The sequence below is a fragment of the Homo sapiens genome, chromosome 10 (assembly GCF_000001405.40).
Source record: "Homo sapiens chromosome 10, GRCh38.p14 Primary Assembly".
Lineage (NCBI taxonomy): Eukaryota > Metazoa > Chordata > Mammalia > Primates > Hominidae > Homo > Homo sapiens.
Window position 1 is genome coordinate 108,437,281 of NC_000010.11, and position 23,430 is coordinate 108,460,710.

The 23,430-nt window shown below is 38.8% G+C and overlaps 1 long non-coding RNA gene across 4 annotated transcripts in view; it reads right to left on the reverse strand.

The window, feature by feature from the left end:
* Nucleotides 1-23,430, reverse strand: part of LOC105378477 (uncharacterized) — a 70,747-nt gene that overhangs the window by 41,630 nt on the left and 5,687 nt on the right. For all 4 annotated transcript variants that reach the window (XR_946310.2, XR_946309.2, XR_946308.2 and 1 more), the window contains exons 2-3: nt 15,744-15,923; nt 12,690-12,819 (exon numbers count right to left, since the gene is read on the reverse strand). This is a non-coding gene — a long non-coding RNA (uncharacterized LOC105378477). The remainder of the gene's footprint in view (nt 1-12,689; nt 12,820-15,743; nt 15,924-23,430) is intronic.

The following is a 23,430-nucleotide window of genomic DNA, read 5'->3' on the forward strand; positions in this document are numbered from 1 at the left end:
CTTAATACATAAATTTTAACTAAATAACAGGGAGTCAGAAATTGCTCTTATATGGCAGAAGAATGCTGAGGATAATTGTAGGAAGAAGGGGTGAATATTATAAAGATGAGTTAAAAATAATAATGAGAGAGATGATAAATAAAATAGGAGGGATTATTGGTAAATGGCCTTAAGAGTTCAAGTGAGATAGGTGTTTCTATTTGAAGGAAAAAGGGTACATCTTTTTTATTTTTTTATTTTTGGAGATGGAGTTTCACTCTTATCGCCCAGGATTGAGTGCAATGGCGCGATCTCGGCTAACTGCAACCTCTGCCTCCCGGGTTCAAGCGATTCTCCTGCCTCAGCCTCCCGAGTAGCTGGGATTACAGGCATGCACCACCACGCTTGACTAATTTTTGTATTATTAGTAGAGACAGCGTTTCACCATGTTGGCCAGGCTGGTCTCAAACTCCTAACCTCAGGTGATCAAAGGGTAACTCTTTTTTTTAGTGAAGTAATAACATGATGCTATAATGACTGTATGACATACAGATAGGAGATAACTTTTCATCAGTGGTGAGGACTGAATGATAGCAATATACATGAAATATTTTCAGAAAATATGTACTGTGTGTACCTCATGCCTGGAACCCTAAACAAGCACCACCCAAAGAAGCTGAATCCTTTCCACTGAATACCTCCAGGGTGGTGGTTAACTAGCTATGTAGAGCCTAAGCAGACAAAATTTCCTTGGACTGGGTTTCTAGCAATATGGGTATTCCCTGCTTGGCCAGGACTTACTGAGAGCCCTTGAATAATCTGCTTCCCCTTGCAGCACCAAATGGGATTTTGAACCAGATAATAAGTTCCCACAGGACTGAAGGCCCTGTGCCAAGACAATGACCAAGTTTTCAGTAAAATGATAAAAATCAGAAAAAAAGAGTTCAGTTTTTCATGGGTCTAAATTTACTCCATTTAATAACTATTCCTATTCTGAATCATGTATTTCCCCATGTACATTTTTCTTTTTATGAAATCCATCTCTAACAGCTGGATGTCTGATTTCAGTGTTTCATATTTTAGGGACCTGACTTAAGAAATTTATTTCCCAAATTATATGCTTTCTTGAAATTTACCTGGATTTTACAACAGGTGGATCTGGAGCCCATTGAGCTAGAGCACCTGTAAGGTTCTGGGCTCTGTGATTTGCTTGACAAAACTTGAGATTCTGAACTTCCTTTGATGGCTGAGTTTTGAAAGGAGAAGAGGCTGCAGACTCTTACTGATGCCTATGGAAGTCCAGACAACCAAATAATTGATACTTCTTGATTGGGAGAGTGTGAATGAAGAGTTTTGGGGGATAAATATCCTCTCTAGATGTGTCCACCTCATAACAGTAATAAATTATTTATGTTTACCTACACAACATGCCAGAGAAAGTCCTCAAATGTCCATAAGGAACAACCTGAAAGTCTGTCCTGGGAATGGACATGTGACTCGCTAGGAGAAAATAAAAGAGACAGAGAATGAGGGAAAAGAGTAAAACAGTGTGAATTAAAGCTTGAGTCTATGAGTTCAGGCTTGGTGTGTCAGTTGAATTATGGAATGAGCAGGATAGCTTGAGGTCATCAAGAAGCAGGAAGATGCATGTACTAGATAGACAGATAATTATCCTAAATAAATTCCCTGAAGTAGATATAATTGGTTCAGGCTGGAAGCAAAAATAGTTTTTGTTGCTGCAAAACTAATTTTTGTGCTAGGTTTTGCTTTGGTCTTTAGCAGCTTATACATAGCACCTGGCTGTGGAAGCCATAGTGAGACAGAACCTTCAGGGGAAGAAAAAATTGAAACATTTCCCAGGATGCTGAGTTTAAGAGATGACTGTCTAATGAAGAAATGGAATCCATTATGGGATGTTTCATCAAGATATACTCAAATAGAGGACCTCGTGTATTCAGAGAAACTTCCCCAGGGGAGTTCAGTGACATATGCAATAAAGCCCCCTTTAAGAAAAGACACCATTGCAAAATTTTGCATTTTAAATAAGGTCAACTTTAGGCTTTTTTTTTAATGAATAGCTTGGGAAAAGAAGCAACTGCACTCCTTTAAATGGGTAGGTCTCCTTGTACAACTTAAATATGACACAATGTATACAGAACTTTGTTAGTCTGATCAGGCTGCCACAACAAAATACCACAGACTGGGTGGCTGAAACAAAAGACATTTATTTTCTCAGAGCTTTGGAGCTAGAAGATCAAGGTTCCAGCTGATTTGGTTTCTGATGAGGGCTCTCCCCCTGGCTTCCATACATGGAACAATGCAAGTGACCCACTTTCCACACCAGATGCCTTAGAAACAGCTTTCCAGGGATGGTACTGGATAATGCTGATTCATGCACACTCTCCTTCAGCTTGTTCCATAGTGATCAGTGCTACAGACTAGGAAATTATTTCTCACATATCTTGCAAAAAGAGAAGAATGGGCCATGCCAGAAAACAGACTGATGGGATCCGAGATATGGTACTAAACATACCTGCTGGAGGAGTGAGCAGCACAGAAACACAGCAGCAGAGCAGTGAGGTGGAAAGTAAGGTGAGACATAATGGTCCAGGTAGTGTCACCTCCACAGAGTACAGCAAAAAGAGTCTCTTTCACCATGTGAAATGAATATGAACTTGTGCCAGCTTAGGGTGAGAATAATATGGAAATTCAAGCAGACAACTGGCATCAAAATATGCAAATGTGGCTGGCTCCAGGGGTAGAACTTCAGGTAGGGCAAAGGTAAGAGGGAGAAAACTGATATTCAGTAAACATCTAATTTTTACAAGGCACGCTTTATAATCTATTGAATTTACTTTTCATAATACTACAAGACAGTATTTTAAACCATTTAAACTACTTTTAACAGATAAAACAAATGAGGTTGAGAGAAGCCAAAGAACCTGCCTGTATTAATCAGTTTCTCCAGAGAAACAGAAACAATAGAACAGAATAGAATATAGTAGAGTAGAATAGGATAGAATAGAATAGAATAGAGAATAGAATACAGTAGAGGATAACAGAATAATAGAGATTTATTGTGAGGGATTGCCTCACACAATTATAGAATTATAGAAGCTGAGAAGTCTTATGATCTGCAAGCTGGAGGCTGAGAAACATCCCTAGAACAATTCAGTTAAAACCCTACACTCCGAGAACCAGGGAGCCAATCATGTAAGTCTCAGTGAGTGGAAAGGTCTAAAACCAGGGACACTGACATCTGAGGGCAAAAGATGTCCCAGCTCAAGAAGAGAGCAACTTCACCCTTCCTCCACCTTTTTATTCTATTTAGGTCCTCAACAAATTGAATGATGCCTATTTGTGTTGGTGAGGGCAATCTTCTTTACTCAGTCTTCCTCTCCAAATGCTAACCTCTTCCAAAAACATCCTCATAGACACGTCCAGAAATAATATCTTACCAGCTATCTGGGCACCTCTTAACTAAGTCAAGCTGACACATAAAATTAACCATTATAGTCCCCAAAGTGACAGAACTGATTGATTAGTGGTAGGCTCAGGATTTGAATAAGGTTTCTGTGACTCCAAAGCCATTGTCTCTCCACTGGGAGACCAAGCACAAAACAAAAGCTGGAGATAAAACAGAAGCTCAATTCTCAGGCTTGAAAAATTAAGGCAAAGATGTTCCTAGAAGTGGTACACAAAGGGGAAAGAGAGATAGCAGAAAGGGTACTTGGTATCAATACAGTAATCACCTAGAGCCCTCTAAATCCTCTCAACCAGGGAAGGGTTTAGTCCTGAAGCCTGATGTGTGATTGCTCCTGGAGGTGGAAATCAAAGAGCTCAGTTTTCAGATTTGAGGAACTGAGGAGTGGAAAAAGAAGCCTCAGACACCCGTAGATATGGGGCAGGCTTACAGATAATGGCCATGACCATGGAACAAAGCAAATTTTTGATCCACTTGGGGACTGAATGCAGGACTTCAAACATAATTTGAGTTGAGCTTTAACTGAACTAATCAATCTGACTATCTGAGGCTGTAGTGTTCAAAACAATATGTGGAGAGGGCAAATAACTTGCAGGCCAGTGCAGGGGTCAGCATGCACATTATCCTCTTGACACAGCAGCATGGAGCTTTCATTAAAAGAAAAAAAAAAACCTCTAGTGGGATATTTGTAGCATGTTTGAAATTGAAGATTAATTCTCAGCACAGAGAATAATTTATGTCAGGCTTTGTCATACAAGAGACATAACTTGGAAAAATCAGGGAGAGTCACTAAGTTCTAGGAAGACAGAGTTCCTGAAGAACTGCTGGTGTGTGTATTTCCTATTATGGTGACAAGCCTGGGATTGAAATTGTGAGGATCTTCTAATCTGATGAAAAGATAAAATCCCTAGAAGAAAACCTAGGCCATACCATTCATGACATAGGCATGGGCAAGGACTTCATGTCTAAAACACCAAAAGCAATGGCAACAAAAGCCAAAATTGACAAATGGGATCTAATTAAACTGAAGAGCTTCTGCACAGCAAAAGAAACTACCATCAGAGTGAACAGGCAACCTACAGAATGGGAGAAAATTTTTGCAATCTACTCATCTGACAAAGGGCTAATATCCGGAATCTACAATGAACTCAAACAAATTTACAAGAAAAGAACAAACAACCCCATCAAAAAGTGGGCAAAGGATATGAACAGACACTTCTCAAAAGAAGACATTTATGCAGCCAAAAGACACATGAAAAAATGCTCATCATCACTGGCCATCAGAGAAATGCAAATCAAAACCACAATGAGATACCATCTCACACCAGTTAGAATGGCGATCATTAAAAAGTCAGGAAACAACAGGTGCTGGAGAGGATGTGAAGAAATAGGAACACTTTTACACTGTTGGTGGGACTGTAAACTAGTTCAACCATTGTGGAAGTCAGTGTGGCGATTCCTCAGGGATCTAGAACTAGAAATACCATTTGACCCAGCCATCCCATTACTGGGTATATAACCAAAGGATTACAAAACATGCTGCTATAAAGACACATGCACACGTATGTTTATTTGGCACTATTCACAATAGCAAAGACTTGGAACCAACCCAAATGTCCGACAATGATAGACTGGATTAAGAAAATGTGGCACATATACATGATTGAATACTATGCAGCCATAAAAAATGATGAGTTCATGTCCTTTGTAGGGACATGGACGAAACTGGAAACTATCATTCTCAGCAAACTATCGCAAGGACAAAAAACAAAACACCGCAAGTTCTCACTCATAGGTGGGAATTGAACAATGAGAACACATGGACACAGGAAGGGGAACATCACACTCTGGGGCCTGTTGTGGTGTGGGGGCAGGGGGGAGGGATAGCATTAGGAGATATAACTAATGTTAAATGATGATTTAATGGGTTCAGCACACCAACATGGCATATGTATACATATGTAACAAACCTGCATGTTGTGCACATGTCCCCTAAAACTTAAAGTATAATAAAAATAAATAAATAAATAATAATAATAATAATAATGAAAAGATCAGAGACACTAAAGGTAAGCTGTTCTCATAACAAAATAGAATTACAGGACAGTTTGGGGCAGCCTGAGCCAAGTGGTAAAGGATATGTCAATGCAACAGAGTGCTGGGACCCAACCAGGGAGACCCTAGAATTCTGTGAAAGGAGCAACCTTGCATGATACAACTTTCTGTTTCCTCCCCACTCAGCAGAGAACCTCTTTCTGAGGTGGCAAAATCAAACTTCCTTAATTTACTTCCCTTGTACATAGACCCTGGCCTGGACACACTGATCCCCGAGTCCCTACCACTCCAGCAACTAAGTGGAATCCACATGCCTGCCTTTAGTATCAATGGTGGGGAAGCAAGGGAGGGTCTTCCCCAGGAATTCAGGAATTGATAGATTGCAAGTCAGTTTGCGTTCTTAGATTTTTCTCCCTTGGCCTTCTCTAAAGAAAACCATTGGTAATTGCTGGATGCATAAATGACGTCTACAGAAACATGCTGTACCCAGCAATGTGGAGGTTAGTTGGAAAATTCCCCTGCTGGACTCCCTAGTAATGTTCTTTTATTTCTTAACAAATGACACTGCCAGCTGTTGAAACTTGAGGGTCTGATCTTGCAAGTTTTCTAATGATCTCCCTGAACACCTTTCCTTGAAAAATCTCTCTCTTGGCCAGAGGCATGTGCCCTTCACCACTGCATGCAAACATGCCACAGGCTTCTCTCACTCCCTGGAAAAGGAAAAAAATGATATGGAGAGAAAATTCTAATCAGAACCTGGACAGTTAAATCCCAATCCAGACACTCCAACCAACTAACTTTTGGACCTGTCAGTGTCTCACCTGTAGAATGGCCATGGCAATCCCCAGTCTACCAACCTCAGGATTGCAACATGGAGGCAAGGTGATCATTAAGGTGCTTCGGGAAACATAACACTTGCAGCTGACATTTATTTAGTGGAAACTTTATGTCACATATTTTTCTGAGCACTTTACATGTGTTGTCTCATAGGTATACACTATTATTACCCCACTTACCCATATGGAAACTGAAACAAAAAATAAGTTAAGTATTTACCAATGGTCACACAGTGAGTAGTGGCAGATAGAAGATTGGAAGATCTAGGCAGTGGGTTCCAGAGACCAAGGGCTTTACCTTGGTGTTCTCCAGCTATTGTGTTACCGCTGGTTAATATTGAGAAATTATCTCAAAAGGGAATCTCCATTTTCTACTCCCCACTTCCACCCTAAACATTCATATATAGCTACCATCAAGCTCCATATATCCACCAGACTCTCTTAAAAGCACTGCCTTTATTGTCCCTACTTTTCATGATTGCAACAAGACAACATTCAGATTCTACTCTGTACCAGTTGCACACAAAGCATCATAACCTCCTGAATCAAGGGATCTTCACATGGCTCCACATGGCTAGGAGAACTTACTCCATGTGGAAGGCTATGGAATGTTTCCTGCATCCCCAAACTCTGGTCAGAGAAGCTGAGTAAGAAGAACAGGCAGAGACAAAGGCATGCATGAATATGAGAGTAGGACTTAGGGGACAGACAAAGTTCAAATGGGTGAGGATGAGATACCATGATTGGCTTTTTAGCTGCCATATTCAAAGTTCTCATCATAGAAGTTCTCACTTTGGGTGGGCCTCAATACCAAAACTATTTACTTTGAAGCCCTTCACAAAAAACTTTTTTCCACTTCCCCCTGATTTAGAAGAGTTTAGTCCTTTGCAGATGTTAAAAAATTTGTGGCTGGGTGTGGTGGCTCATGCCTGTAATCCCAGCACTTTGGGAGGTCAAGGCAGGCGGATCACCTCAGGTTAGGAGTTCAAGACCAGCCTGGTCAACATGGTGAAACTCGGACTCTAATAAAAATACAAAAATTATCGGGGCATGGTAGTGGTTGCCTGTAATCCCAGCTAATCAGGAGGCTGAGACAAGAGAATTGCTTGAACCCAGGAGGTAGAGATTGCAGTCAGCCAAGACTGAGCCACTGTACTTCAGCCTGGATGACAGAGCAAGACTCGGTGTCAAAAAAATAAAAAATAAAAAATAAATAAACATAAAAATTAAAACAGTTAAAGATTATTTGTAGCCAAGTCAGAAATTTAAGATTGGGGATGCTGCTCTTCTTCCAAATCAAGTTGTAACTAAGAGACAACCATACCATTGCTCTTGCATTCCTTATAAACTTCTAGTAAAAGAACCAGTACTCAGGATTAAACCTATTTTACTCAACTCTTTTAAGGACATTATGAGACTGAGAATTTTAGCAAAATCCAAATTTTCCTCTAGGGAGTTTGCAGACCCTGAAGAAGCATAAAATGTAAAAATACAGTGAATTACTATAATTGCAGTGTTAAAATTCCTCCTGGCTGATCCAGCATCCTTTATGGGATGCTGAATTAAATACTAAGCTAGTTTAGCATTAGAGGCCTCTGGAGACTATTTTTCATTTTGTCAAACCTCACCTGCAACTGTGAAAGGAAGTCCAGATACGGAGGCTTTCACCTTTGTGACTCTTATGGTAAACAAAAGTGCCCTCTCAACTGGCTCAACATGAAGGCAGTTCAGCAATGAACATAGCTCAACAACGAACACTGGCATTTCTGCATCTTTAACCCCTATTTTATAAACATCCTTGGTGTTTTCCTACCAGTCTTATCAATAAATGATTATTTATTAAATATCTCCTATACGGCAGACCCTGTGAAATTTCTTGTATTATATAAGAGTTTCTATTATCTCTGGGGAGACTTTAAAAAATTTCATAATAATGAAAAGGAATGGTTGGTTAAGACTCAAAAGGAAAGTAAGTGCTACAGAAATGTAGAGGAGGGTGTTCCAACTGGAACAATCAGAAACAAATAAACAAAGAAAAATCTTTAAACACACGTGTGAGACTTGAACTAGACTCAAGAGGAATGATTCAGAATGATAATTAGATGGAGGTGGCCTTCTAAAAGGAGGATTAGAATTAAAGAATGTGCCTACTTATGTGACAGGCATCGGGGAATTTCAGGATTGGGTAAGCATTACCTTCTGTTGGAAAGTGTCCTGCATACACAGCCAGGAGACCAGGAATCAGAATGACACTGGGCTACATCTTTACTCCTGACCTCAATCTTCTCATCTGTTCCATGAGGAGGTTGGCTAGATGACACACATGATCCCTTCCAACTCCATAACACACTTTTGTTTGGACAACAACATTGCAGTCAGAACACAGAATATTCTGCCTTGAAAAATTCCTCTGCTGTGAGACAATACATAGTATGGTCAACGCATCTTTTCAAAGGTATCATGATGGGAATGACTGAATCTTCGTGGTCACCCTGACTCTTTCAGTTTTTACTGTGGCTGCTATTTGCTAATAACTCATTTGGTAAACATGCCCCCAGCGTCATGTGTAGTAGACCTTGGGGGATGGGAGGTAATTAGGCACCTTCTCAAGAAGGTTGCAATCTAAGGTGCCATAACCTGGAGCCTGTGGGCCAAATTCAGGTCAGGGATTATATTATCATGCAAGCCCGTATTTTAAAATGTTGATAAGTTACTGACAATTTCTCATCAAGGACAAAACAAAGCAAAAAACACCCTGTCTATCTAGCTGGAGAAGCATTGATTGGGAAGGGATTGTGGGAATGCTCTCACTGGCCCATGTTTCATGACTAGAAGGTTTCATTAGAAGGAGAAAGAACTTCCCAGAAATCAGTAATTGGTATGTCGAAGGAAAGTATCCCCATATCTGAACCCTTTGTGGAAACTCATTTCATTAGACATAAAACTTCATGAGGGTAAAGACAGCAAATCAAATAAATAAGACCCACCCGTTGGGGGTTACTGTCTAATTTTTATCTAGTGCCTGCTTTTTCTATCCAAAAGTTGTTCCATTCATTTAAAAGTGAGAAAGACCATTTATTTTGACCCACATTTTTATGACCCAGTCTTCCCCCGTGCTCTTGTAAATTTACATTTTTGTCTGGTATTTGCAATCTTTATGGTGCCATTTTTGCCTAGTTTATTTCTCTTGAATTTAAATGCCAAGGCAAAATAGGCTCCAGCAAAAAGCTCCAGGCACCAGGCACCTGGACATTTTTGTTTCTTGGGTTTTGCCAATTAAATCAAACTTACTCTGAGACTGCCTTGGGAAGAGACAGGCTTAATACCCTGGTTAGCAAACAGAGGAGTTACAGTCACACTTGACTTATAGTCTGTTTAAACTACAAATCAGCTTCAATTTGTGGTTTCTACTTCCTAAGAAATGGAAACCTTGGGGATATCATAGAGAACATAACTGTCAAGTCCCAGGACTCTAGACTTGCTGGGGTAAAGGGAGGAGGATAAGAGATGAATTATATAATTGCTGTATGTCCAATTATTCAAGAGAGTGCATTTATTTAAGCCCATTCTTATGGAACATGTTGGATGTACAAGCAACTCTGAACCAAAGACATCCAACAATTGATCTCTGGCGAAACATATACTGCAGGTCTGAAGAATTATTCCTGTTCTTCTGTGTCCTGGTTAAAAATTTTAACTTAAAACTATCTCGGAACCTTCATTCCACTCGCAAATCAAGTTGGAACTGAATTCTTGGAAGGAGCAAAGAAAGAAAAATTATCTCAGATAAGTTATTTTTAAACTTAGATTAAACGCATATTATTGATATAGGATAATGTTGCTGCGATTTTGCTGTCTATCATGGTTCTGAATGATGAATATACTCAATCGGCAGGACATAAATATATTTTATTCCTTGTGCTTCTAGAATTTTTGGACATTCCTAAAATATAGTGGTTGAAGGAAAACATATTGAACATAGTACTTCCTAGTACAACTAGCATACTATTTCAAAATCAGTTTATTCCATGGTTCCTGATTTTTGGACTTCAATAGATTATTTTATTTCACTTTCTGGGCCTCCAACTAGAGCAAGATGCAAACAGAGACAATTTTACTTAGGTGAATAACCAAAGTTATGTTTTGGTTTATTCATGTTTTAATGTAATCTAAATTAAAGATAGATTTTAAGGTTTAATTGAGTTAAATTAATAGGTTTATCTCATGAAATTGTTTATAGCCATTAAATGGGATGAGGTACGCCTACATGCATGGATAGGGAAACATGGCTAAGAAGTAACATCAAGTGAAAGTTCAAGCTGCATAAAAATGTGTAATATGATCAAGTTTGTGTAATCATTTGCTATATAGATAATTTAAATATATATATATATACACACACACACACATACATGTGTAATGTTTATCCATGAACAGAAAAATGTCAAGAAGGAGATATATATATGTATATATACACACAGTACTAGTCAGAGCTGGAATCTGATCAGGTAAAAGGTTGTTTTGCCATCACAGGCAGGAGAACCTTGGCTTCTGGCAGGAGGAGCGTCCCAGCCAGGAGTTTTCAGCTTTCTAAGGCATAATCCTCTGCAGCAGCAACATTATGTTGGTATTATTCTCAACAATTAAAATAATAATAAAAAGAAAATCATAGTTGTTGCCAAACAAAATTTATGGAAGTTTGGAGGTTCTTCTTAGATTAGGAAAACAAGCAACACCAAGAAAGGTAGATGGAAAAGAGGAAGAGGAGGGATGATGGAAGGGTCTGGAGATTGCCTGCCATGTTTCTGCCTTTTGCCAGAGCATGTTTTATTTTATTTATTGCTTTTTTCCTTTTTCACGAGTGCTGACCCAGACCATATTTCTAAAATGCAGAAGTGTCAGTCATGTTTGGAGATAGGTTTGTCTCTCCACTGAGGCACCAGTAGCCTCCTGGTAGCCCGTTTCCTTCCTGAGTACATTTCTGTAAGACAGGTGATATCAGGACAATGAGACTGCAGATGACACAGAGGGAGTTCACAGCATTCACCCTCACAGCTTTGTTTTCAAAAAGTCGCTGCAGGTGACACACTATGAACAACATCCTGATGCTGAAATCACCGGCATCAAGGAGCTAAGATCCCAGAGAAACACCTGACCTTGCTCTATAAGCTGGAAGAGTTTCCAGCTGGGAGAACCAGCTAGAGGAAAGAGCCAATGGCAGTGTTCTCCATTACTCTTCATCCTTCACCGGTATTTTTGTTTATTACCACTCAAAATGCTCAATCAGTCCCCAACTGAGAAAAATCCCTACCTTGAGGAGTACACAAATATTTTTGGATAAAGCAAGTGGCTTCCTCATATAAAGAGGTCTGGGTTTTTTAGCTTCATTTTTTCTGGAAGTAACTATTTTCTTGGTTCATGCCAATTTATTTTTATTTTTATTTTATTTATTTATTTGTTTATTTATTTATTTATTTATTTTGGAGACAGGGTCTCACTCTGTCACCCAGGCTGGAGTGCAATAGTGCGATCTTGGCTCACTTCAACCTCCGCCTCCTGGGTTCAAGCAACTTTTCTGCCTCTGGCCTCCCCAGTAACTGGGATTACAGGCACATGCACCACACCCAGCTAATTTTTGTATTTTTTTTTTTTTTTTGGTAGAGATGGGGTTTCACCAAGTTGGCCAGGCTGGTCTTAAACTGCAGACATCTGGTGATCTACCTGCCTCGGCCTCCCAAAGTGCTGGGATTACAGGCATGAGCCACCACACCTGGCCTTTGTAAAAAAATTTTTTCTAGGAATTTTGACCACCTGTGTCACTGTCATTTGAAATTAGTGTCTGCAGGACTCCTGCCTGTCTGTTAGGAGACAGCTTGTGTCTCCTCAGGTCAAGGCTATGGCTCTGATCTAACCTTGATCATCCGTGTGATCCTACAAACCTGCTCCAGGTCCCTCGGCCCCCTCACCTGGCACTCTGGGCATTTGCACACATACAAGAATAATCTCTGTTATACCAAGTTAAGCCTTGGCTACTGTCCCTTGCTTTTGGAAGGTTTTGACTTCCCCTGTGTGATTATCCTAGCTGATAAGAAAGTACTGATGCCACCTCTCTTTTCTGTGGGAGAACCGGCATACATACAGTGCAAGACTCTGCTTCTCAATTCCCAAATGCTTCATGCAACACAGCAAGATTAAAACACTCCCTCATATACAGTGCCAAGAAGCCTTAAATGACCACCTGACATTTTGTACAAAGTCACACATGGCTATTTTTGCTACATGTACTTCAATGGAGCTGTCCACAGGTACTTACTCTGCTTCACCTGATCACTTACCACTCTCAGCTGTAAAATGTGGCCATCCCATAATATCTGGGGAGAAAGATCCTCTCTGGATTATGTCCCAACAAACAGAAGATATACTCATCTTCATGTGATCTATTGCTTTTAATTGGTTGACTCGAACCTGTTAATTAAAGATGAGAATATTGTGGAGAATTTAGGATACCTCCATTACCCAACACAACCCTGCTCCCTCCTGTCTTTCCTTTAACCTCACTTCATGAGAGAATACAGCTCTATTATTGTATTCTCCATTGGAAACAAAGTTGGAAATTCAAACACTAGTATTTTCTTAACTTCAAAATGTACTAAGTGAGAAAGGAGAAGCAGATTATATGGCTTTTTACCAGAATCACCAAAAACTCATTTACCAGAGATGGACACCACTCAGTACTCAGCATTAGCACAGAGGACAGGAGTAAATGGAAACCAACAGAAGATGGCTCACCATTTACACGGGACACATGAGGGATGTGGTTAACACAGTTGGTTACATTAGCCACAGATACTGATCTGGGGTTACCAGGAAAACATGAAGAACATGTACAGAAGGTTACTGAACAAGGACCAACAAGAAAAATATCTACCTGTACTGAAGAGAAACCACAGTTCAAACACAGGCGTGCCTCAGCTCAGGGTGTCTGTGCTCACACATGCCAGTAGACTCTCTATTATATCAACCTTGGTTATTGGTTCCTGAGAGCTGTTCTGGGGTCAAACCTCCAGAATAATTTTTGTTTCTTCAAAAATCAAGCATACATTCTACCTTCATACTAACCACAGCTCCCCAAATGTAAGATCAGCTACCTACTGAGGAAGCATGATCCCTAGCCATGATGGTGTTCAGTGAGAGTGAGATGCTAGAGGCTCCCTGGTCCTGATGGTAATGAGTAGGAGGATCCATGCCTCAGTCATGGCTGCATTAGGTAAACTCTAACTCTACTGATACTTTCTCAGAGCTAATATCCCAAAGCAACAAAGCTGTGATTTAATACACACTCATAACAACATTATGACTATTTTCATCATTCATGTGAAGAAACTGAGGCTCACAGATATTAAATGACCTACTCTAAGTCATATGGATGATTAGTGGCAAAACCAGGGCCAGCCTAGGCCTGGTCAACTTCCAGCCCAATGCTTCATTCTCTGGTCTCCAAGCAAAAAGGCTACATGCCTAAAGCCTGGATGTCCATAAAATAAATCCCAAAAAAGACTACGGAAAGCAGCACTGGCCCAGTGCTGAAGAACAGACAGGGAGGGCTGGTGGCAACTTCCCCTGGGCCCTTGGATGCTATATCTGATTTTTCTTTCTGGGATCATGGCCTCACATTTCACCCAACATCATAATTTATCAGGAAGAAGACACTGCTGAGGTCACATCATAATCTTAAGGCCTTGGTCCCTGGAAGCTCCTCTCAGTTCAAACACTTCATGCAGTACCTTTTCTTAGTTTGGCTCTGTCTGAGGTAGGCTGGAAGCTGACACAGTGAGGGAAACGACTTGCTCTTCCACGCCAAATGGTTAAAGTGTTCATTCCATGAATTGGAAAATGAGCCTGGTGCAAAAGAAACTACCTATCTTAGGTTCTAGTTGGAGAGAAGTGTGTTGCATCCAAGCTATGTGGACCAAGAGGACACATGTACAGTATTTCTGCCAAAAAATTCACAGGGCCATAGTACTTATCAGGGAAAAGATTTTTTTCTTGTTTTTCTCCTCCTCCAGATTCTCCTTCCCCTTCTGCTCCTCCACATCTTTCTTCCTCCTTTACTCTTCCTTCATTTTTTCTTTTTGGCAGTTTGTCCCCTTCATACAGAGTATTTATAAAAATGTTTTAAAGCATTTTGCCCTGCCACACAAATAATCGTGAACAAATAAAACAAAACAAAATAAAACAAAACAAAATAAAACACCATGGGACAGATTACTGTAAATATTTTAAAAGGGGTCTGATATGCTTAGCCTTTGTATCCCCACCCAAATCTCATCTTGAATTATAATCCCCATTATCCCTGTAGTGCCCATGTGTCAAAGGAGAGACCAGGTAGAGGTAATTGAATCATGGAGGTGGTTTCCCCCATGCTGTTCTCGTGATAGTGAGTTCTCACATGATCTGATGGTTTTATATGGGGCTCTTCCCACTTCGCTCAGCACTTCTCCTTCCTGCCACCATGTGAAGGTGCATTGCTTACTCCTTTCTGTCTTCCATGATTGTAAATTTCTGGAGGCTTCCCTAGCCATGCTGAATTGTGAATCAGTTAAATCTCTTTCCTTTATAAATTACCCAGTCTCAGGCAGTTCTTTATAGCATGATGAAAATAAATGGACTGATACAGGGACTTAGTGAAGAGAGAGATGTCTTGGATATGAGCCAATAGTAGATTAGAACATATGGAAGATTTTGCCTTGGGTAAACTAATTTAAGGAACATGAAATCACACCAACTAAGACGTTATGAGTACCCTTTATGACAGACACTCTGCTAAATATTTTGCTTTTATCACTGCATGTCTTCCTGACAACAACTCTATGAAGTAGGTATGATTATTATGCGCACTTTGCAAAGAAGGATACCAAAGCACATTTAGCTATGTATTTGTCTAAGATTATATCACACGAAGCAGTGCTAGGTTTCAAACTCAAGCAATTTCAGTACAACCACACCACACTGAAGGTTATTTGGTTATTCGCCAAACAAGGCATTAGTGCTCAGAAGGAGAGTTATCTGATTTGCTCGAAATCAACCTGCAAATATGCGACATAGTCAGGATAAAACCCTAATCTCCTAAGTCTTGTCCGATGCTCTTTCCATAGCATAAAAATAAATCCCAGACACAAAACTCATGTTCTTCCAAAGTGCTGATTCATACACATGGGTCAGGGATGAGCTAAGAACCACAGATTTTCCCCACTGGCCATCATAAAAACTTCTTATTAAAGACACTGTCTTAAAGCACTTTTTGGATTAAAAACAATTCATAGAGATTCAACCTCAAAGCACCATGCACTTAGTGTGGTCCAGGATTTCCTTGTGCCAGGGGCTCTTACCTTTTACAACATCTTCAACATCTACTCAGGAAGTGGGTAGTACATATTCCTTTTTTACAGACGGAAAGAGAGGAGCTCACAGAAGTTAAGTGACTGATTGCAGGTCACAGAACTAGTACACAGCCACCAAGGCCTGGGGCCAGCTCTGCTCACTCCTGGTTCCAGATTCTCCTGTTCAATCTAGGACATATTAGAAACATGGTATGCCAGTTAAGAGAGTGTGTGTGAAGTTACCTCAAAAAGTAGAGTCTTTAGTTGGGAAACTGGTTTTGAAAGATTACAGGAGTTTTTATAATCTAGTGTAAATGCTATCCAGCAAACAGTCCTTAACCTCATCCCCATCACAGAATAGAAAGCTCTAGAATCAAGATAAAGACTAAAACCTGTTTAAACTTGAATCTCAACCACCTTGACCTTAACAGAAAGCTTTTGTAATTTCTACAAATGTCTTATCCTTTAATAATTAATTACATAGACCTCATAAACTGATAAGCCTGACTCCACACTAATGAGCTACTTTACTGACCTTCATATAATTTTACTGTTTCCTACAAACTGGTTTTACAAGAGTAGTGCTCTCCTTAAGAAAGCAAAGTGAGCTCTGAGGTTTTGCCTCCACCTCGCCTTCTGTAGGCTGTGGGGGGAAGAGGAAGTATACCAAAAATGCAAAATCAGGTCACCTGAAATATACCAACTCTTTCCAAAAAGGGTTCCAAAACTGTTTTTAAGTCAAAATAAGACCCTCTTTTAAAAGAGACAAAATTTAAAAAAATGAAACTGAGCGTAAACTGCAGAGGGTGGCACAGAGTGGTAGAAATGAACTTGGCCAGTCTCTGACATATAGACTCTTTGCTTTTAATGGGTAATTTGTTTCTTGGAAGATACTGTCCCTCAAGCTATCCTCTAGGCACTTGTAGCTGCAAGTCATGGTAAAACAAAACTGTTTTGGACAAAGAAGACTAGAGGTGAAAGCCAACTCCTGGTTTTGTGAAGCAGAGGGACTTACTGGCAGGGAGCCTGAAGACACTGTTTTGCTGTCATGTACAACACCTACACCCATGTTCCCTGCAAGGGGTATTTTTTTATATTTTGATATAATTTAGATTTGAACAAATGTTCATGAAATAACCTAAATGACTTTAATATTTTTAGTTGAGGCAATTACTATCAGTAATAGAAGTCCATCCACCCACTCAATGATAAAACTGTACTTTCCAAGTTCTCTTTTCTTACCTTTTTGCTCTTTCTCTCTCACTGGCTTTCATATCAAGACCCATTTCCAAACCTAAATTCTTCTACAATAACTTATCATGAAAGATGACTGTGAAAAAGCAAGATGTGGGAAAAAATTATGCAATTCAACAGGTCATCTATGCTTGTTCTCTCATTTATTTAACCAAACTCGAATAAATGAATCACTCTCTTCATAAGAGCGCAGGACAGTCACAGGAATGAGGAACAAACTGAGGGTTGATAGGCTGAAGTAGAAGCCATTAAAATGGCCCCCGTAAGCCCACTTTACTTAACCCAAAATAACTGCTCAGTGGGAAATAAGTGTTCATGTTAAACAGTGATTTGTGGGAACAGAAAACCATGGGTGGTATTTCAAAAGCATAGTGGAGTCGTACTGCAGCCTTGGTTCACTTTCTTGTACTGGGCAACTGAGTTGATGAGGTCCGTCTCATGTAGGGACAGAGCCTCAGAGACTGACCTAAGAAACATAGTTAAACTTAATTAATTCAGCTATTCTTACTTTTCTACTGTTCAAAGAACCAGCCAACTTATCTCCCCAACCAGATGGTGAGCTCAAGGGAAAGACTGCTAACATATATTTCTTTATGTCTCTATCAATATATGCCTAGATAAAATCAATGACCAAAACAAAATGTTGAAACTACTTTTTAAAAAAAGAGGCAAGCTAAATTATCTTGGGGACTGGGAACAAAGAACCAGGACTGCAAATCAGTTCCACATGTTTCTGGCAGTCTCAGGCTCTAGCCAAAGCTAGAGTTCATTCCTTCAGCCCTGACTCCATCAGATGTATCTAATTATGTTTCTAGGCTACAAGACAAAAAAGATGTACATTAGTTTCTCACTTTGAGAGATAGAGTGATAGAATAACAGAATGATTTTATTCTGCTAAAAAGAAAATGAGTCACAGATACTTTCATGTAAGAATACATTTTCTCAAACATTAAAAAGCACTTTCGAATGTGCTCCAATTTCCCCTTGTATGTCCAAGACAATGTCACTGAGTGGTTTGAGTAGTATCACAAAAGATTAAAGAAATAGAAAGAGATACATCATGCAAATATTAACTCAAGGGTACACATTAAAATAAGTTTAACTAATGAAATTAAAATGAAATAGTACATCAAAGTGCATTATGCTCCCACCCAAAATCACTTCACACACCATGGCATCACACGTACCACACTTGGAAAACACTGAGGTTCATGATTTCTAAAGGTCATTGGTTCTGAATTCTCAGGTTCTCTCACCTCTCAATAAGAATTTAGCTCAATGGACTTATTCAGGTAAAATGGCTGCTCTAATCTTTCTGGGAATTGTACTAACTAGACACTCTTTTCTGGGGTTTCAAAGACAAGGCCAGATACTGCACTAACTGAAAAGCTTATGGAAGCATTATCAGCTACCATAGGAGGACAGGAGGATGGGGAGTATAGAAGTGACCACAGAGGAGACACTGAATTTGAGGATGGCTTCACTCATGGCATAGCTGGCCCTTTCACTTTTCCCTTAGGAAGAGATCCGTGCATCAGGCTTTTGAATAGCTCATCACGGTGCTTGCAAAGACCACTGAATTTTGTATATGGCTGTCAGGCAAAGGCAACCAAGAGGAGGTATTATATAACTGCACTGCCCAATATGCTAGCCACTGACTACATATAGCTATTAATAATTAAATTCAAAATAATTAAAATTAAATAAAACTAAAACTGCAATTACTCTGTTGCACTAGTCAGATTTCAAATGATTAATAGCCATGGTGGCTAGAAGCTATTGTGCTGGCAGAGTAGAGGATATTTCCATCATTGCAGAAAGTTCTATTGAATGGATTTCTCTGTAGCCTCTATTGATAAATGGTCTGCAGAGGATCCACAGATTGGGAAAGAATCCAGTCACGTGAGAAGGTGTAGTCCAGCTAAAATTGCATGCATGCTCATGCACGCACACAAACACATATGACTTCTGGAGTCTGAGATCTCTATTTCTGTGATTATCAAAGTAGATCCAGAGTAAAAGTCAAGTATTATTTTCTTCCTCCCCAGTTGTTTCCCCAACTCCTGATCCCTTGCTTATATTTGTATTACCCAAAATTTGCTGTACCAAATAAGGTCGGATATGATAAGTAAGTTGCTGAGAATTATGGGCAGGTAGATTGTTTAGGAAATGTAAATAAAAAGGTTTTGTTTGTTTGTTTTGTTTTGACCTAAAACCTTTTTATCTTCCTTCTACTTTACTTGAAAGCAACAATGTCAATAAGTCTGAGAGCAACACTGCGCAGATCACCAACTCCATCCAAAAGCGTGAAAAATGGAAGATACAATCAACCAAGATTAGATGATAAATATTCATTGAGTATTTGGATTATTACAAGTATGTTTGGGTTCCTGTTATCAGTTCCCTTGACTTCAGGACAACTGCAGCCTCTAAGTTTAGAAGTCACTGTGCTAGGTAAACCCCAATATGCCTTCACTTTACACATGATGAAATTCAGGAAAGTTTGGTTCTTGCCATTATGTTAAGAACATTTAAAATCATTTAATTAAATAAATTCAGAGAAACTGTTATATGTGTTTTACAAAGCACATGTGACAATTATACAGTGAAATAGATTTTTTGCTTCCCAAGGGAGTTTTTAGCAGTGAATTAAAGAAATTGCCATCAACTGAATTCAGCAAATTGACTGCTTGTTCAGCCAGACACTACTATCCACAGCAGCAGTGTTGGGTTTCAGTAGAAGGATAAGAAGGTTAAGGGCACACTGTGTATAGACTCTCATGGAAAGTATTCTTCTGGAGCTTCATTGTCAATGACAATCCTGAAGGTTTCAAGCATCTATCATAGATCGAGCTTCCCCAGAGTTCATGTATCTATGTATTTACTGCTTACCAGGAAAAAGCTCATGTTACTAAGCATCTATTGTACCTCGATTATCAATGACAGATTTTAAAGTGGGTTATTAACAAAATAGTTAACTTTTATTGACCACATACTATATCTTAGGTTTTGTGCTAAATGTTTTATTTGAATGTCTCATTTTATCTTCACAACCACCCTAGAGACAGACACTATTATTCATCACATTTTAGACCCCAGAGAACTGAGACTTAGAAATACAGTTGACCTTCGAACAATGTTGGGGTTAGGGAAACCAATTGCCTGTATAGTTGAAAATACACATACAACTTTTGACTCTGTTAGGAAACAACAAGTGCTGGAGAGGATGTGGAGAAATAGGAACACTTTTACACTGTTGGTGGGACTGTAAACTAGTTCAACCATTGTGGAAGTCAGTGTGGCGATTCCTCAGGGATCTAGAACTAGAAATACCATTTGACCCAGCCATCCCATTACTGGGTATATACCCAAAGGACTATAAATCATGCTGCTGTAAAGACACATGCACACATATGTTTATTGCGGCATTATTCACAATAGCAAAGACTTGGAACCAACCCAAATGTCCAACAATGATAGACTGGATTAAGAAAATGTGGTACATGTACACCATGGAATACTATGCAGCCATAAAAAATGATGAGTTCATGTCCTTTGTAGGGACATGGATGAAATTGGAAATCATCATTCTCAGTAAACTACCGCAAGAACAAAAAACCAAACACCGCATATTCTCACTCATAGGTGGGAATTGAACAATGAGAACACATGGACACAGGAAGGGGAACATCACACTCTGGGGACTGTTGTGGGGTGGGGGGAGGGGGGAGGGATAGCATTGGGAGATATACCTAATGCTAGATGAAGAGTTAGTGGGTGCAGCACACCAGCATGGCACATGTATCCATATGTAACTAACCTGCACATTGTGCACATGTACCCTAAAACTTAAAGTATAATAATAAAAAAAAAAACACTTGACTCTCTGAAAATGTAACTATAAATAGTCTACTGTTGAATGGAAGCCTTACCAATAACAGTCAACTAGCACATATTTTGTATGTTATAATATTATATATATTATACTTTTACAATAAAGCCAGAGAAAAAATGTTATTAAGAAATTCATAGAAAAGATAAAATGTATTTACAGTGCTATATTGTATTTATTGATAATGTAAGTTCATGTATTCTGTTTATGATATGAATCACCTATCTGAAATGGCAGGAAACCACAGCTGCAGACTGCAATCTATGGTACACATCAAGCAATTCAACTTTTTTTTTTTGTAATGTTATGACTTTCATCAGTTTCTTGGGAGCTTTTCCAACAACACTAGTGGCACTTTGTATGGGTCCTATGGTGTTAGTCAAGGTTTATAGTGCTGCGCTAAACAGGATGAAAAATATGCGAGAATACAATTTGCTGGAAAGAGAAACTGCTCAGGTGGAGATGAAGAGCATCACAGGGCATTTTAAGCGGATAGTACCAACACTTGAACTCACTGCAACAGCAACAGAAGGTGGCTACAGAATTATTGCAGTAGTATAGTACGTACTACGGTTAATTTTATGTAGTTATAATTTAATACTTTATCTTTATGTTTGTTTACATTTCTCCCCACTGAGAATAGCATCATGCATGGTCTGTGTTTGCATGAAGAAGTTTTGATAAGTTTTGACTTTCTACAATAGATTTGTGTATATTTTATGGTGGTAAATGACAAAAACAGACTAGTATCTACGTATATTTTATATAATCAGGACATGTCTAACTTTTTCTTAATTTTTTCAGTATTTCTAGTCTACATGGTTCATCTGTAAGCTTTTTCAAGTCATTGCAAATCTCAAAAAAGTTCTAATATCTTTTTTTAAAAGTATCTGAATATAAGTGTACTCACACAGTTCAAACCTGTGTTGTTCAAGAGTCAACTATACTAAAAAATTTGTCCAGGATGACACTGTTAGTAAGAGCCTGAGCCAGAATATTAAACTAGGCTGTTTGATTCCTAAGTCTGAAATTTATATACTGTGTCATAAAATTATACTTGCTGATAATAGGGTAGCATAAATAGATACTTTAGTTTATCCAGTGTAGAGGGAAATGGAGTTAGTAATTTGATAATTAGAAATGTTCTACTCCTTTGAGATGGTAACCAAAGGGAGTTGTTTATGAGATAACAATGTATATCACTGAACCCATGGTTTTTGTTTGTTTGTTTCATCAGTAATTTGCTGAAGAGGCTCAACGATTCTAAGTGACCTCAAATTCCCTGGCCCACTAGACCAAGAGGAGACCCTTCAAGCTGCCTGTAATGCTTCACTCAGAGATTCAATATTTCTCCCTGAGCAGCTTCAAGCAATCATTTTTATTTCACTCAAATTACTCTAATAATAAAATAAGTTCTTTTTGATAAATTTTGTATTAATCTGTATACATGTCCTATAAACTGTATAAGTCTATGAAGATTAAAATATTGAAAGGTAATCGATTTAATTTGCATAACCACTGTCTTTTATTTGCATTTGTAAACTTTGCTGACTAGAGAGAACAGTATTCGGGAAACCAATAACACAATAAAATGGGCCACCAACCAACTTGACATAATGCACACACTCTACTGTGTACTTTGATTTGGGCTGCTTGACCAAAAAGATAATAAAATCATTCCTGTTCCCCTTTTTAAAAAACAGAAACATATTAAATAACGGTGGATAATAAAGATCACAGCCTAGATAATCAAATTCTACTATAAAGGAATGAATCAGTCACACATATACTTAAATATGAAGAAGTTAATGATGGACTTTTGGGGAAGCTTGACTTCTACATAATACACAAAGAGTGAAGTGAGATTAATACAATTATCCCTACAGTCCTCTCTTCTAAACAAGGTAGTTCTTAAACAAAGGCCCAGAAGCTCCTTTTGCAGGCAACTCTGGAAGAAAACACATGTGATTTTACTACATTGCAGATATATCTGTTTCTACATGTCTATGTATCTATGTATGTATTTATCTACATATATCATTTATTGATCCCTTAAACTATGCCAGATACTCTTTAGATCCCAGAAATATATTGATAAACAATACAGACTCAGATACCTGTCCTTATGGCAAGCATTTATTGTTTTTGTTTTTTATCTGTATTAGCTTGACAGAAGATGCTTATATCAAGTCAATACATATTTTCTATATAATGCTTCATACAAATATATTATGCAAAGACATATTCATGGGTTGTTTTTCAGTGTGAAAAATATCTTTTTTACTTTGATTTAAATAAAACCCACCCCAAATTTTAAATTTCAGGAATTTCTTTGCATAATATGCATATTAACAGTGGGGAAGACACTTCCTCAACTACCTAAGGGCAACGTTACATGTGAATGTGATATGTTATTTCAGCGACACTGACGGTACAGATCTATGCATCATCTCTGTTTCTCCAGGATATCCAGCGCACTTCACTTAGATGTCCTTGGTGCTCAACAGCTGCAACTTAAAAATCTGATACACTGATTCATACCTGGATGGC